This window comes from Homo sapiens, chromosome 6 (assembly GCF_000001405.40).
Source record: "Homo sapiens chromosome 6, GRCh38.p14 Primary Assembly".
In the NCBI taxonomy this organism is placed as follows: Eukaryota; Metazoa; Chordata; class Mammalia; order Primates; family Hominidae; genus Homo; species Homo sapiens.
The window spans coordinates 108142203-108159491 of NC_000006.12; the positions used below are offsets into that span (position 1 = coordinate 108142203).

A 17289-nucleotide genomic window follows, 5' to 3' on the forward strand; every position below is an offset into this window, starting at 1 on the left:
AAACCACCCACCTGACAAAAATAGAGAGAGCAGAGGGCAGGATGGAAAGAAGAGTCTTCTCACCTGAGGTCAGGAGTTAGAGACCAGTCTGGCTAATATGGCGAAATCCTGTCTCTACTGGAAAAAAAAAAAAAAAAAAAAAAAGAAGAGTCTTCTAATTCCAGGCATGAATGGGGTGAGATATCACCAAACTGGGCCAGAAATAATGGATGGCAACCCCACCATTGCACAACATCCCTGGTATCAGTTCCTTTTTCTTTGTTCTCAATATCAGTAAGACCCACTCACAAGGGGCAAGATTTCCTCCCAGTGTGAAAAAACTTCCTAACAACTGAGAAGGTTGGATGTTTTCTCTGCTGAAAGGTTACATCTTGTTTATGGGTTGGAGTCTCTATTTTAAAAGTTCATGGGAAGAAGGACCCTGTGGAGAAGTGTTATTCCCCATTACCCCCAATTTAATCCTTTCATTCAATTCACATTTTTTCTTCCTCCTTTACCGTTTCTGGTTTCTCTCTTCTTTTCTCCCCTCCTTCCTCCTATTTTGCACCTCTATTTTTATTTCTCTTATCTATTCTTCCCTTCTCTTTCATCACATCAATCTTTAGTCGTATATTTAATGTTTCTCACCAAAGTGAGAAAGTCCTGCTTCTGAAACCCTAACTGCTCTGCTGGATAAAAGATGGGTTTAACATTAAGAACTGCAAGTGGTCCAGCATTCCTTCTCATATCAGCCACCAAACAAGGAAGCCCTATGTCTATCTAGAGATATTTTGTGGAGCTTAATTCAGAATACATGTAATTTACGTGTACATACATATTAAAGAATTTTCTGGATGTGGTAGAAACCTTTGAAGTCTCTTCTGCATGTTAATTTCTCTGCTAATCCAGATGCCTCTGCTCTTTGTGACATTAGAGAGGTCACTGAGCACCATCCCAATAACCCTCCAGAAAACAATGACATGCCAGTGCAGAACCTTTTTTTTTTTTCTACTAACCATTTAGTATTCTTTTTTCTTTTCAAGAAAAGCCAGTCAAGTCCTAGGAGGTCTTATCACTAATACTAATTTCTCCCCAGCTCAGTCAATAGTTACCCTCCCCAGAGAAACTTACAAGTGTATCTGTTCACAGATTTACACATTTCCTATCTATGTAATTACTCTCTAGAAGGAACTACCTTGAGCTTCTGTGCCCCTAAACTGATCTTTCTGGCCTTTCCATAATTATGTAGTCCAAAGAATCACAGCTTTTACAGATGAATTTGCCTCCTGATGTGGACTTCTAAGAGCTCTAACTAGAGCTAAACTGTCTATAGACGATAGGGGTTTGAAAGAAGACTGCAGCCTTTTAAGCTACATTGTTGACAAGCAAAATACCAGCTTGAATTGAAAGCTGGGTGTGTGTGTGTGTGTGTGTGTGTGTGTGTGTGTGTGTGTGAGAGAGAGAGAGAGAGAGAGAGAAAGGCCTCTCACTCTGTTGCCCAGGCTGGAGTGCAGTGGTATGATCTTGGCTCACTGTAGCATTGACCTCCCAGACTCAAGCGACCCTCCCACCTCAGCCTCCCAAGTAGCTGGGATCACAGGTGTGCACCATATCCAGCTAATTTTTTTTTTTTTTTTGGTAGAGATTGGGTCTTTCTCTGTTACCCAGGGTGGTCTCAAACTCCTGGGCTCAAGCAGTCCTCCTGCCCCAGTGTCCCAAAATGCTGGGATTACAGGCATGAACCACCATGCCCAGCTGGAAAAAAATATTTTTGTTTTAGCAAAAATGTAAATGTAAAATTAATAAATTCTGGAGAAGAGCTAAAATATTAAAACTTTCCATAAGTTTATAAAATTATGTGAATTTGTTACTATTTGGTAAGTTTTAATTTTGCTGGCATGAAAATAAGTTTTTTGAAACTAAAATATCTTATTTGGATACGATTTTGTAGCATATAAAAGCTTAGTTTTATATACTGTGCATCTGGCCAGGTGTGGTGGCTCACTCTTGTAATCCCAACACTTTGGGAGGCCAAAATGGGAGGATTGAGTGAGGCCAGGAGTTCAAGACCAGCCTGAGCAACATAGTGAGACCCCTGTCTTTACAAAAAAAATTTTAAATTAAATTAGCCAGGCCTTGTGCCACTGCACTCAGCCTGGGCGACAGAGCAAGACACTGCGTCTCTAAAAATAAAAAATAAAATAAAATAAATTATACGGTGCATGAGAAAAACCCTTTGTTTGTTTGTTTGTTTGTTTTTGAGATGGAGTCTTCCTCTGTTTCCCCAGCTGGAGTGCAGTGGCATGATCTCAGCTAACTTCAACCTCCATCTCCCAGGTTCAAGCGATTCTCCTGCCTCAGCGTCCCAAGTAGCTGGGATTATAGGCATGTGCCAGCACGCCCAACTAATTTTTGTATTTTTAGTAGAGACGGGGTTTTACCATGCCACCCAGGCTGGTCTCAAACTCCTGACCTCAGGTGATCCTTCTGCCTCGGCCTCCCAAAGTGTTGGGATTACAGCATGAGCCACCGCACCTGGCCTGGAATTTTTATTTTAAACACAAATGGAGCTGGGCACAGTGGCTCACAACTGTAATCCCAGCACTTTGGGAGGCCTGGACGGGTGGATCACAAGGTCAGGAGTTCAAGACCAGCCTGGCCAAGATGGTAAAACCCTGTCTCTACTAAAAATGCAAAAATTAGCCAGGCATGGTGGCAGACGTGGTGGCAGGCGCCTGTAATCCCAGCTACTCGGAAGGCTGAGGCAGAGAATTGCTTGAACCTGGGAGGCAGAGGTTGCAGTGAGTCGAGATCGCGCCACTACACTACAGCCTGGGTGGCAGGGCAAGACTCCGTCTCAAAATAAACAAAAAACAAAAGAAGAAGAACATCATGGATAATTCTACCATCCAGATAACTACTGCTCGTATTTTCTCCCAGTCCCTTGGTTATGCATATATTTTGAAATTTCTTTTAAAGATTTTCACTGTCCTGTTTTAAAGCAATCAATAATGTTTCATGCTGAGGCATGGCTCAATTTTCATAATAAAGGAGGAGATAGAGAGAGAGAGATCAAGAACCAGAAAGATTCAAATGTCTTGAAGGATTGGTAAAAGAAAGAAAGAAGAGGCAGGCAGCCAGATCCTCTCGCCTCCTTTCCCCTTGACTGCTGATACTGCCCCCCTACACCTTCTTCCCCTGGAGGCATTCCCCAAACCTTCAAATAGAACAAAAAAGCTGTTCCAGACCCAAAAAGCATCACGAGCCAGTCTACTATTATTCCTTGTGAGGAAAATATCAATGTATATGATGGCTAGGTAATTTCTGGATGTTTGCATTTCTATCACGACGTGTTTTTAGGCTTCTAAGAAATCATGAATATCTTTTTTCCCCAAATGATTTTTTTCAGTCCCCTGAAAACATATTTTACATTCTAACACGAAGATGACCATTATTCTGACCTCCTGGCCATCTAGTTATCACTCTGCATTAAGCCTTCTTCATATTTTTAGGATTTTTGCAAGTTTGAGTAAATAACCCAGTTTCCAGAGTAGCTTGCATCACTGTGGCCTAGAACGTGAGACAATTACATGTATCCTCCTTTTCCTGTAATTCCGCAGAGGAAGAACACATGACCTGTAGTACCTATAGTGCGCACTAGGCTACGCAAACAGAACAGTCTGTCAGCCTCCTAAGAGGATGCTCAATATCGCCTTGGGCCTCTTTTTACTGAAGTCTCTAAGCATGACAGTGCTGGGCTTCTTGATCATACTAACACTTTATCATGAGATAATTATAGCTCTGCCTTCTGTTTCCAGCGCTCTGGTGGATTAGGTACTATGATGGTTAATTTTATGTGTCAATTTGGCTAGTTTATGGTGCCCAGTTGTTTGGCCAAACACCAGTCTAGATACTGTTGTGAAGGTATTTTTTAGAAGTGGTTAACATTTATTTTTATTTTTAGAGTCATGATCTCAGTCTGTCACCCAGGCTGGAGTGCAGTGGTGCGATCATGACTTACTGCAGCCTAAACTCCTGGGCTCAAGTGATCCTCCCACCTCAGCCTCCCAAGGAGCTGAGACCACAAGCTCACACCACCATCTTGGCTTATTTTATTTATTTATTTATTTATGTATTTTACAGACAGGGTCTCAATATATTGCCCAGACTGATCTCAAACACCAGGGTTCAAGTGATCCTCTCACCTCAGCCTCCCGAGTTGTTGGGATTACATGCATGAGCCACTGTGCCTGGCTGCATATGGTTAACATTTAAAGTAGACTTTGAATAGAGCAGATTGCTCTCCACAATGTGGGTGGGCCTCATCCACACAGTTGAAGGCCTTAAAAGACTGAGGTCCCTAGAAGAGGAAGGAATTCTGCCTCCAGACTCAAACTGCAATATTAGCTTCATGTGAAATTTCCATCCTTCCTGCCTTGCTCTATAAATTTTGGACTTGCCAGCCCCCACAATTTCATGGGTCAATTCCTTAAAATAAATGTCTCTGTCTTTCTGTCTCTGTGTGTGTGTGTGTGTGTATATACATATATATATACACACACACATATATATGTGTATATATATATACACACACATACACAGACACACATACATATATGTGATAAATAGAAGATATACATATATCTTACATACGTATCTATCCTCTTTATCTATATATTCTATAGGTTCTGTTTCTTTGGAGAACTCTAACTAATACAGACATACTGAATGACAATCTCAACGGACATAACTAAAATGCTGGGTAAAATATTTTTAAGATATCTTTTAAAATGCATCACTGAGCTGGCACAAAAGGGAGGGATTTTCATATCCCAAAAATAAATGAAAGCAGGAACCGTGGTAGGTAAGCATTTTCCAAATGCATTTTCCAAAAAGCACTTCCAGCTTTCACCCTGAAAGTTTCTGTCAGATTCTGGAGACCCTGAATCTCAACTCTGAGATGATGTTTAGGTATTGCCCAAGGTGGGGAACCTGTCAGGAGAATCCTTGCATAAAGCTGAAACCACAAAGGGTTACATCCTCAGTATAAAGATAAATAAGCCGGGCGTAGTGGCTCACACCTGTAATCCCAGCACTTTGGGAGGCCAAGGCAGCTGGATCACCTGAGGTCAGGAGTTTGAGACCAGCCTGATCAATATGATGAAACCCCGTCTCTACTAAAAATACAAAAAAAAAAAAATTAGCTGGGTTTGGTGGCATGCGCCTGTAATCCCAGCTACTCGGGAAGCTGATACAGGAGAATTGCTTGAACCCAGGAGGCAGAGGTTGCAGTGAGCCGAGATCACGCCATTGCACTCCAGCCTGGGCAACAAGAGCAAAACTCCATCTTAAAAAAAAAATTAAATAAATAAATAAATAAACCCTGCCCCAAAGAGCAGTGCTATTAGCCAGGACATTTGTCTATCTTGTTGACAGGAAAGGAAGGACACGAAAAAAGATCTCCTCTAAGAATTTGAAACTATTAATACAAGGAGATCTCACACAGATTTTCTATCTAGATCCACCATTTATGTAGTCCAAAAAAACCCTAATAATACAGTATTTCAATATAAAAGGACTCCACATTAGTAGTACAACCAGGTGACTTGACTAGAAAGAGCAAATGCAAATCTTCACACAAGTTCATCTTTAACCTTAAACTCCAAGAATCCTCAGATAGAGTGCCAACTAGAAAGAGCAAATGCAAATCTTCACACAAGTTCATCTTTAACCTTAAACTCCAAGAATCCTCAGATAGAGTGCCAAGGCAAAACCTAGGAGAAAACATGGCACCAGGAAGTGAACTAGAAGAGGCAAGCAGCAGACAACAAAAGTAGTCCCTCCGGGACATCAAATATTGGCATTTTTAGTTACCAAATACAAATATTACATGTTAATTAAATAACAGAGGAGCTTAAAATATTAGCAAGGAACTGAGACTATAAAGAAAATCCAAACAGGTCTGAAACAGAAACAAACAATACTTTAGAAAATGAAAAATACAATGATTCAGTTTTGTTTTGTCTTTTTTTGAGAGAGTCTCACTCTGTCACCCAGGCTGGAGTGCATTGGTACAATCTCTGCTCACTGCAGCCTCAACTTCCCAGGCTCCAGCAATCCTCCTACCTCACCCTTCCAAGTAGCTGGGACCACAGACGTATGCCACCACGCCCGGCTAATTTTTGTATTTTTAGTAGAAATAGGGTTTCGCTATGTTGGCCAAGCTGGTATCAAACTCCTGGCCTCAAGTGATGTGCCTGCCTCTGCCTCCCAAAGTGCTGAGATTACAGGTGTGAGCCACCGGGCCCAGCCAATGATCCATTTTTTAAATTAGGGAGGAGGGCCTTAAACAGCTGGTTAGACCCAGCAGAAGAGAGAATTAGTGAACTGGAAAACTGGCACAGACATTTTCCAGAATACATCCAGAATCAAAGAGATGGAAAATATGAAAGAGATGAGAGTTATAATTCACAATCAGGGTTCGTGAAGGAAATAATAGAGTAGGGAAGATAAAATTTCCAAAGAGATAATAACGGAGAATTTTCCAAAATTGTAAATGACACCAACCTTCAGATTCAAGGAGCCAAGTGCATCTCCAGCAGAATAAATAAAAAGAAATCCACATGTAGAACTATGATTGTAAAAATGCAGCACTCCAAGCTGGGCATGGTGGCGCATGCTTGTGGTCACAGCTACTTGGGAAGCTGAGGCAGGAGGATCACTTGAGCTGCAGAGTTCCAGGTTGCAGTGAGCTGTGATCATATCACTACACTCCAGCCTGGGCAACAGAGCAAGACTGTGTCTCTTACAAAAATTAAAAATTAAAAAGGCAGAACTCCAAAGGGGAGATAAAACCATAAAGGTAGACAGAGGGGGAAAAGTCACTTTTTTGTTTTGTTTTCTTGAGACAGGGTCTTGAGCTCTGTGGCCCAGGCTGTAGTGCAGTGGTGTGATCATGGCTTATTACAGCCTCAACCTCCTGGGCTCAAGTGGTCCTCCTGCCTCAGCCTCCTGTGTAGCCGGGACTACAGGCACATGCCACCAAGCCCAGCTGATTTTTTTTAATTTTTTTGTAGAGACGGGGTCCTACTGTGTTGCCCAGGCTGGTCTCAAACTCCTGGGCTCAAGTGATCCTTCTGCCTCAACCTCCCAAAGTGCTGGATTACAGGTACCATGCTCTGTCTGACAGGTTACTTTTGAAGATGGAGCCTTAGACTGAATACTGACTTTCCAACAGCAACAATAACAACAATAAAACCAAAAGATAGTGAAATCACATCATCAATGTGCTGAAAGAAAATAACCATGAATCTAAAATTATATCCCACCTGTAGTCCCAGATACTCAGGAGGCTGAGGCAGGGGGATCACTTGAGCCCAGGAGTTGAAGGCTGCAGTGAGCTATGATCAAACCACTGCACTCCAGCCTGGGTGACAGAGTGAGACCTTATCTCTAAAAATAAAAAATAATAAGATAATATTCCCAGTGAAATATCTTTCCAGAATGAAGGTAAAATATAGATATTTTCACTTAACCAAAAATTGAGAGACTTTCCCACTGGCAGACCCTCACCAAAGAAAATTATAAAGGTTATGCTTCATAAAGAAGCAATGGGCTGGGCACAGTGGCTCACACCTGTAATACCCGCACTTTGGGAGGCTAAGGTGGACAGCTCACCTGAGGACAGGAGTTCGAGACCAGACTAGCCAACATAGCAAAACCTCTTCTCTACTAAAAATACAAAAATTAGCTGGATGTGGTGGCATACACCTGCAATCCCAGCTACTCAGGAGGCTGAGGTAGGAGAATTGCTTGAACCCGACAGGCAGAGGTTGCAGTGAGCTGAGATCACGCCACTGCACTCCAGTCTGGGCGACACAGCAAAACTCTGTCTAAAAAAAAAAACCCCAAAGGGCTGGGATTACAGATGTGAGCCACCATGCCCGGCCAAATTTTTTTAAATTAAAAAAAAAAAAAAGCAATAGAAACCTTCCCAGATGGAAGGTTTGAGAAGAAGAAATAATCAGCAAAGATATAGGTAAATATGTAGGCAACCCTATATAAATCTATGTGATTGTATGAACAATAATAATATCTAATTTGTGGGGGGAAAAATTAAGCTAGAACTGGATCCCAGTACTAGAAACAGATGATAATATATAAAGATTTCTAAGGTTTTCATATTGTTCAAGAGGCAGAAAGATATTAACTTTGTTAACTGAAAATATTAAAACAGATAACCACTAAAAGAATAGATGCACAAAGAATATAACTTCCAAACAAGAATGAGAAGAACTGGACTGAGAGGGGAAAAAAATTCTCAGTCAATGCAAAAGAAGGCAAAAAGGAAGAGGTAAAACATGGAAATATAAAGCACCAAAAAGATGGTAGTAACAAATTGAATATATCAGTACTCACAATAAGATAAATGTAATAAAGACTCCACTTAAATGATGAAGATTGTCAGACTACATTTTTGAAAATCAGCAATATACTGTTTACATGAGATTTTTAAAACATAAAGTCATAGAAATGTTGAAAGTCAAAGGACAAGAAAACAAATATTAATAGAATAAATCTGATGGGGCTGTCTATATTAATATAAAAAAGAGACTATGGACAAAGCATTACTAGAAATGAAAAGGATTGCTACCTAATTCACGAAGAACATAGACCAATTAATTCTACGCTTATATGCACCAAAAATCATGTACTCTTTTTTTTTTTTGAGACAGTCTTGCTCTGTCACCTAGGATGGAGTGCAGTGGCAGAATCATAACTCACTGCAGCCTCGACCTCCTGAGCTCAAGTAATCCTCCCACCTCAGCCTCCTAAGTAGGAGACTACAGATACAAACCACCACACCCAGCTAATCTGTCTTATTTTTTGTAGAGATGGGGTTTCCCTATGTAGCCCAGGCTGGTTTCAACTCCTGGGTTCAAGCAATCCTCCCACCTTGGCCTCCCAAAGTGCTGGGAATACAGGCATGAGCCACTGTACCAGGCTGAAAAGACATTTTTAAATTACTTAAATAAATGGAAAAATAGCAAGTTGTTAGTAGAAAGCTTTATCAATAGCGTGAAGATGTTAATTCTCCCCAAACTGATTAAATCCAATTCCAGTGAAAATATCAACAATACTTTTCACCACACTTGACAAGCTAATTCAAAAATTTAAAGGGAATAGCAAAAGGTCAAAATTAGCTAAGTGCCCCTAAGAAAAAGAATAAGGTAAGGGGACTTGCCCTCCCAGATAGCAATACTTACTATATAAGCTAAGTAAATAAGACAGTGTGATATTAGCAGAGGTATCTCACAAAGGGGACAATGGAAGATGATAGGGAACCTGGAAACAAACCAATGCATATATGGAGACTTGATTTTATAACAGAGTGGGCTCCAGAGATGAGTAAAGAGTCAATCAATGGGCCAGGTGCGGCGGCTCACGCCTGTAATCCCAGCACTTTGGGAGGCCGAGGTGGGTGGATCCCAAGGGCAGGAGATCGAGACCATCCTGGCTAACACGGTGAAACCCCGTCTCTACTAAACATACAAAAAATTAGCTGGGCGTGGTGGCAGGCACCTGTAGTTCCAGTTACTCGGGAGGCTGAGGCAGGAGAATTGCTTGAACCCGGGAGGCAGAGATTACAGTGAGCCGAGATCGCACCACTGCGCTCCTGCACTCCAGCCTGGGAGACAGAGCGAGACTCCCATCTCAAAAAAGAAAAAAAAAAAGTCAATCAATAGTACTAGGAAGTTTGATTTTTTTATTTATTTTTATTTTTTGATACAGGGTCTCACTCTGTCACCCAGCCTGGAGTGCAGTGGCACCATCTTGGCTCACTGCAACCTGTGCCTCCTGGGTTCAAGAGATTTTCCTGCCTCAGCCTCCTGAGGAGCTGGGATTACAGGCGTGCCACCATGCCCGGCTAATTTTTGTATTTTTAGTAGACATAGGTTTCACCATGTTGGCTAGGCTGGTCTCAAACTCCTGACCTCATGTGATCCACCTGCCTCAGCCTCCCAAAGTGCTGGGATTACAGGCGTGAGCTACTGCACCCAGGCAGGAAAATTTATTAAACAACTGCAAAAAATTAAATTGGAACCCTACTCAAACCATACACAAAAATCAATTTTAGTTGTATTAAGCACTTAGATGTGGAAAATAAAGCTATAAAACTTTTAGAAAACAGTTTAAGAGAATACCATTACAATCCAATAAAGGGTAAGTTTTTCTAAAACAAGAGACAAAAATATCCACTCATGAAGGAAAATGTTGATAAATTCTACCGCGTAAAATTAAAGCTTTGCTTCACCAAAAGACATTTAAAAGAGAGGAAAAGATAACCACTAAATGGATGGGGGGTGGGGGTGGTTGGGGAATGGTTTGGAATGGAATTTGCCAAATATATAATTGAGACAAAGGATTAATATCCAAAATATATGTTTTAAAACTCCTATGAATCAAAGGGAGAAGAAAAAACAAGCCTGCTAACATAGCAGGACCCCATCTCTCTCTCTCTCTCTCTCTCCCCCCCCTTTTTTTTTTTTTTTGAGACAGTCTCACGCTGTCACTCGGGCTGGGGTGCAGTGGCATGATCTTGGCTCACTGCAACCTCTGCCTCCTGGATTCAAGTGATTCTCATGCCTCAGCCTTCTGAGTAGCTGAGATTACAAGCATGCGCCATCATGCCCAGCTAATTTTTGTATTTTTAGTAGAGACGGGGTTTCGCTATGTTGGCCAGGCTGGTCTCGAACTCCTGGCCTCAAGTGATCCACCCACCTTGGCCTCCCAAAGTGTTGGGATTACAGGCGTGAAGTACTGCACCTGGCCAAGACCCCATCTCTTAAGTAAATAAATAAACTAAGTGTGGTGCCAGGTGCCCGTATTCTAGATATTTGTGAGGCTAAGGCCAGAGGTTCACATGAACTCAGGCGTTTGAGGCTGCATTGAGCTGTGATTGTACCACTGCACTCCAGCCTAGGTAACAGAGTAAAACCCTGACTCTCAGAAAAAAAAAAAAAAAAAGAAAATGAAAAGAAAAAAGAAAAAGATAAACAATACAATGGAAAAATGGGCAAAAGTCACAAACAAGTATTTTACAAAAGAGAAAACACAAATGGCTCACAGATACCTGAAAAATGCTTGATCTTGTTAGTAATCAGAGAAATGCAAATTAAAACCACAGAGATATTGTTCCCATCTGAATAAGAAAAATTTAAAAGTAAGTCAATAGTAAGTGTTGACAAGGATGGGGAGCAATAATAACTCTTACTACCTTCTGGTGGGAGTGTAAATTAATACAACCATTTAGAGAAACAGATTGATAGTAAAATTCAGTAGGAAAGTCAATTCTGCTCCTGGGTTTATATGCTAGAAAAATTCTTGCATATGTACTCCAGGAGGCATGCATTACAGATTCTCATAGCAGCATTGTTCAGAATTACTAAAAAGAGAGAGACAGAGAAAGGCAGAACACAAATGTGCATTCATAGTAGTAAGGAGTAGTCACTCGTGGTATATTCACACAGTGGAATACTATACAACAATGAGAATGAAGAAACCCCACTGTGCAAATGTAACACAATTAATTTAATATCAACATTAAACAGAGTGTTGGGGAAAAACCCAAATCACTGAAGCTATATAATGTATGCTTCTGTTTATGTAACATTCAAAAAAAAAAAAAAGCAAAACTTCACATGATTTTAGGGATGTATATGTAGAAGTTGTAAAATTATAAAGAAGGCAAGCAAATGAATAAAACACAGCTCAGAGTGGTGATTATCTCTGGTGTGTGTTGGTGGGGAGGGGAGACACCATCTAAGAGGGCATGAAGAGGTTCCTGTGAATACTAAGATTCTAATTTTTAATGTAGCTGCGAGGATATAAACATACGTTTTATTTCATTCTTTTAATTGCACAAATACATTCATACTGTATTTTATATGTATGGTACATTTTACAATCAAATGGTCAATGTGGCCGGGCACGGTGGCTCACACCTGTAATCCCAGCACTTTGGGAGGCCGAGGCTGGTGGATTGCTTGAGGTCAGGAGTTGGGGACCAGCCTGGCCATCATGGTGAAACCCTGTTTCTGCTAAAAATACAAAAATTAGCCAGATGTGGTGGCATGTGCCTGTAATCCCAGCTACTCAGAAGGCTGAGACAGGAGAATTGCTTGAACCTGGGAGGTGGAGGTTGCAGTGAGCCAAGATTGTGCCACTGCACTCCAGCCTGAGACAGAGCAAGACTGCGTCTCAAAAAACAAACAAGTGGCCACTGTGTGTTATTTCTGGGATCTTGACTAAACACATTGAGGCTGGGCTATGTCTCTTCTGTTTCCCTCTCCAAGAACGAGTTAGAAGATTCCATCTGGCCAGGCGCGGTGGCTCACACCTGTAATCCCAGAACTCTGGGAGGCCAAGGAGGGTGGATCACCTAAAGTCAGGAGTTCGAGACCAGCCTGGCCATCATGGTGAAACCCAGTCTCTACTAAAAATACAAAAATTAGTCGGGCATGGTGGTGCATGCCTGTAATCTCAGCTACTTAGGAGGCTGAGACAGGAGGATCACTTGAACCTGGAAGGCAGAGGTTGCAGTAAGCAGAGATCGCACCATTGCATTTCAGCCTGGGCAAGAGAGCAAGACTCCGTCTCAAAAAATAATAAATAAATAATACATTTTTAAAATGAAAATTCCATTCTCTTATTGATTTAAATCTAGTCGACCTCTGGATAAGCCCTTCCCTTTGGTTTATTACTACCATATTCCAAATCTAGTGCTGTACTTGTCCCTGCTCCGCAATTATCAGCAGTCAGATTTTTGTACTTTTCTGGCAACCTAAGCTTAGGGGTACCAAGATCATCCTCCTGCCTTTCCAACAGTGTTTGCTCAGCCTGCAAGTGTAAGAGGGGAAAAAAAAAAAGAAAAAAAAGAGGTTTAATTATAATCACTTCTCCAGGGACTGCTTTCCTCTAATGATGTCCACATCAAGTGACTCCAAAATAATTCTTCATTCTAAAAGAGAGTAATTCTGGCCGGGTGTGGTGGCTCACGCACTTTGGGAGGCCGAGGTGGGTGGATTGCCTGAGCTCAGGAGTTCAAGACCAGCCTGGGCAACATGGAGAAACTCCGTCTCTACTAAAATTACAAAAAATTAGCCAAACGCGGTGGTGCGTGCCTGTAATCCCAGCTACTTGGGAGGCTGAGGCACGAGAATTGCTTAAACCCTGGAGGCAGAGGTTGCAGTTAGCCAAGATCGTTTCACTACACTCCAGCCTGGGCGACAGAGCAAGACTCTGTCTCAAAAATAAATAAATAAATAAATAAATAAATAAATAAATAAATAAATAAATAAGAGTAATTCAAGGCCTTGAATATCAACCAGAGTGAGTGACAGAAAGGCTTGATACCAGTATGTCACTCACACCTTTCATGGGTAGACCTTTCCAAAATCACCCAGTGTCCCCCTCTCTGAAGACCTTCATCTGTAAAACAGAAATAAGAAGCAACTGTGCTGAATGTTCTTAGAAGGTGTGGTCATAAACTCTATTAATAGACAGTAGAGCCTGTTGTTAACTCTGTCTAAATCTACACATTAATTTGGAAGTTTCATCAGTCTGACTCATATTTTCTTTTTTCTTTCTAATAATTCAGTATCCCAGCCTTTACACCCTCACTCAACTTCTGGCATGGACATGCTCAGCATTGCCACACTTGCCAATAAAGGTAAAAACTATACAATTTTTTGGCAGGCTTTAATAACTTTCATAATGAGCTACCATTCCTGTCATTTATTTGATTTGAACTTGCAAAGGCATCAGTAAATTAAAAGAAAGCATACTGAGATTTGGTGGAGGAAAAAAATGTCAATTCCCAAATTGGTCTTTTGGGAATTCAAAATACACAATAGAGCAACAGCTGTTCTAGATTTCCATCAGAGATTAGCAGATAAGTTATTATTGAAATTCAAAGTTGTGACATCTTTAGATAAATATTTGCCCTTGATTTTCACAGCCTCTGATTCAACAGAAATCTGGAAGTGTTCACAGCTTGGCCCGGAGAAGATCGTTTTAAATCTACAGCTTTAAAATGTGGTTGAAAAGGAGCCCAGGTTGGATTCTGCCAGCAGGTCCGCTGGCCGCTGTTACCTCCCCACTGTCAACGCCTAGGTCTCTGCCTCCAGCCCTGTTTCAGCCTGTCCTTGAGGATTTGCTTCACCTCATTTACTGAGCTTGCCACAGATTCATTACCTGGCATCAGAGCTCCCCTCTCACTGAGCCTGCCCAGAGGGGTGCCAGTATACTAGCCAGATGCCGCTGGAGGGACTCCACAATAAAGCCTGGCTATTAAAGACTTCAACAGTCTCATAAAGTCACTTTGCCAGCTGTAGAGCACACAAGTGCCCACAGATCCAAGCCTCCTTCCTTCCCCAAAGAAACACCTTGGATAAAGTCTTGGAATATCATCCATTAGCACATGGCTCCAGCCAACACATGAATTCCCTTACACCAGCACATGGTCTCTCTTTCCTGTTCATTCACTTTGGAAGACAGTCCTTGAAATGACAAGGCCTGGAGTGTCTTGTACAACCACCGCCAATCCGGTTTCCAGCAGAGGCTTGTGGGCTAGGGAGTGTATCGATTTGTATTGTTAAAGGAATTTCCTGCTCCTCTCAGTGTCAGCTGAAGAGCCCTCTGCAGTCATTCTCCTATTTTGAGAGAAGAGAAACAAGAGGAGACGAACTCCTGGTTCCTTCCTACGGGGTGTATAGACCAGTGACAATGTTAGTCCTACAATTTGGATTTATTTGTTTGTTTTCTAATCACCGCCACTTCTCCAAGTACAAAGTCTGTGTCTATAATTAGATATCTTCTACATGTTACACCGGCAAGTCCATCTCATCATTTTACAGAGGGATGGTGACTTCCTTTAGCGCCCCATACTGACCGCGGTCCCTCACCTGCTGACTGATTGACTTATAAATCTGCCCCCCACCCACTTGTCTGTCCATTGAAGGCAAATTCGCCATCGGGAACACAGTAGTTTCTCAATAACTATCTAATGCATGGCCACCCTTCCCAGGATTTAGAATATCAAAGGGACGTGTTCTTTCCTCCCAAATCACCTGCCTGCGCTTCCCCCAGCCGGGTGCCCCAGCCTTCACCTCGGTCCGGCCACCACCTCATCCCGCTTCTTCGCGGCTTCCAGGCCTCGGGCTGGGATCTCAGCCCCTGCCTGTAGGTGCGGCCCAGAGGGTGCGACACGCGTCGGAGCGGGGCAGCGGAGGAGGGGACAGGGACGCGGCAGCCACACCCGCATCTCTTTCCCCTCTCGGGCATCCCCGAGGGCCCTTCTGCCTCCAGTTCCTTGAGCCCCCGAAGCCCCCCATGCGGCAAGAGCGAGTCGCAGGAACAAGTGGGGAATCTTGGCCGCGGCCCCCTCCCCCGCCTTATAAAAAAGAAATTGACTTTTGTTTGGAGTTTGTGAAAAGTGGGGCTCGGGGCCCAGTCAATGGGGCGCCCCGCGGCGCGGGCTGAGTGGAGCTAGCGCGAACCGCTCAGCCGCGGCCCCAATTAATCCGCCCTTTGTGCGGCCCGCCCGGCCGCCCCCGCCGCAGCCGCACCAGCGGCCCATTGTTCGGCCTCGCCGGGCCGCGGGATTTACCCTTTTCAAACAGCCGGTTTTGTCCAGGGCAGTTCGAGCGGAAGTTTCTCACTGACAATTTGCCCCAAATAGATAGATTTGTCAGAAGCGACCTTCGGGAAGGAAGCAAAAAGCCACCGGCCCGAAGGTTGGGCCCAAAACAGGGACTCTGCGTCCCACCCGCGGCCGCGCCGCCCCCCCGCGCCCCCGGCCCTGCAGTCCCGAAGCCCCGCGGGGGTCCAGACCACTGCACCTGCTGAGCCAGACACTCCGCGGACCTGACCTCCGTTTTACCCATCTGTAAAATGGAGCAGCTGGGCGCTGGCAAGCCGTAAGTCCAAGAGCTTTGGCTCCACCAGCGTGTACGACGCTCATTTCCTTTCTCTCTCCCCACACCCTTTCCAAAAACTGTAAGCCAGAAAACCTGGCCAGGCCTCCGCGACGGCGAGAAACGGTCTTGAAGGTCGGTCGGTCGCCGTAATGCGGTCCGGATCGTGCACGTGCTGTTTCGCCACTGCCCTCCGGCTCCTCCTTAACAAAGATGTCAACCGTGCTAAATCACAGGTGGTGCCTTTGTAAGACCAGCTATTGTCCCCTCATAAGTCAAGATATAAAACGCTTTGTACTGAATGGCCCATGATCTGGAGCGCTCAACTTGGGAGTTGAGCTGTTAGATTTTCTTTTCCCCACCCACCAGAGCCACTCTTCTCCCAAATGACCTCACTTAATAAGCAAAATTTAAATGGGGTGGGGGGGGACTCAACATGCTGTGGATGAAAAGAATAGTTACTGATTTCTTCACACTTAATGGCATGTAGGAGTCTTTTAAAATACAGTCTCATACCAAACAGATCTGTGAATTTTAAGCAGAACTGAATTGTATTAATCAGTTGATGGGTTTGTTCATCTTCTATCACTAGATGAGAAATACAAAGGTTGGGAATCCACAGCGTCTAATTCTACTGTACTTAAGCAATCTCTCCCTTTAGTCCAGAAAATTTCCTACTAGTTGCACATGAGAGAAAAATTGAAGCAAAAAAAAAAAAATCTGTTTTTTGTTTATCCATCAGGTGAATACACACTTCAGCATCATACAGAGGAAACCCTAGGTGGTCTTTAGCAAGATTTCAGTGGTTAAGAGCTACAATTTAGAAAAGATGACAATACATACACAGTGTCAATAGTATTTAAACAAACATCCCAGACAACAGAATAATGGTTATTAACTATGATGCTTTGGGCTTCTGACTAATTTCCCATGTCTGTCTGCAGCCAAACAGCTGCAGGATTTTTCCCCCTTTAAAAACTGTTTGTGCATCATTTTAAAAATTGCATTTAACAGCCATATTCTCCAGAGCAGTCCCTCTGTGTGGAACTGAAGTGAATGGTTTAGCAATAGCGATGAAGCCAGTAAGTAGTAAGAATGTCTTTCATGCCAAAAGAACTCTAACCACTCTGCTAGAAATGGGCTACATTTTTACTCTCTGAAATGTAGAAGCTGTCTGCTACTGTATGACCTTCAGTATGGTTTACATGTCTAAATAAATGGAATTATTTAACCCTGCTCACACTTGCACTAGTGTTTTCAAAATTGATTAAGTTGTGCAACTGTACTAAAGTGTACCTTTCTTGGGGTTTGAAAATATTAAAGAAATCAAGAG

General features: G+C 42.7%; 1 long non-coding RNA gene across 1 annotated transcript in view, besides 1 other annotated feature; it reads left to right on the top strand.

Annotated features, from left to right (window-relative positions):
- Positions 1 to 17193, top strand: part of OSTM1-AS1 (OSTM1 antisense RNA 1) — a 35763-nt gene extending 18570 nt beyond the window's left edge. The window contains exon 2 of the long non-coding RNA NR_145458.1: positions 14000 to 17193. This is a non-coding gene — a long non-coding RNA (OSTM1 antisense RNA 1). The remainder of the gene's footprint in view (positions 1 to 13999) is intronic.
- Positions 15635 to 16533: an enhancer, noted in NCBI's record as "OCT4-NANOG-H3K27ac-H3K4me1 hESC enhancer chr6:108479041-108479939 (GRCh37/hg19 assembly coordinates)". NCBI's record gives its function as "activates a minimal SCP1, AML or CMV promoter by ChIP-STARR-seq in primed H9 embryonic stem cells {active_cell/tissue: H9 hESC(primed)}" and the evidence as "EXISTENCE:reporter gene assay evidence [ECO:0000049][PMID:30033119]".
- Positions 17194 to 17289: the final 96 nt, after the last annotated feature.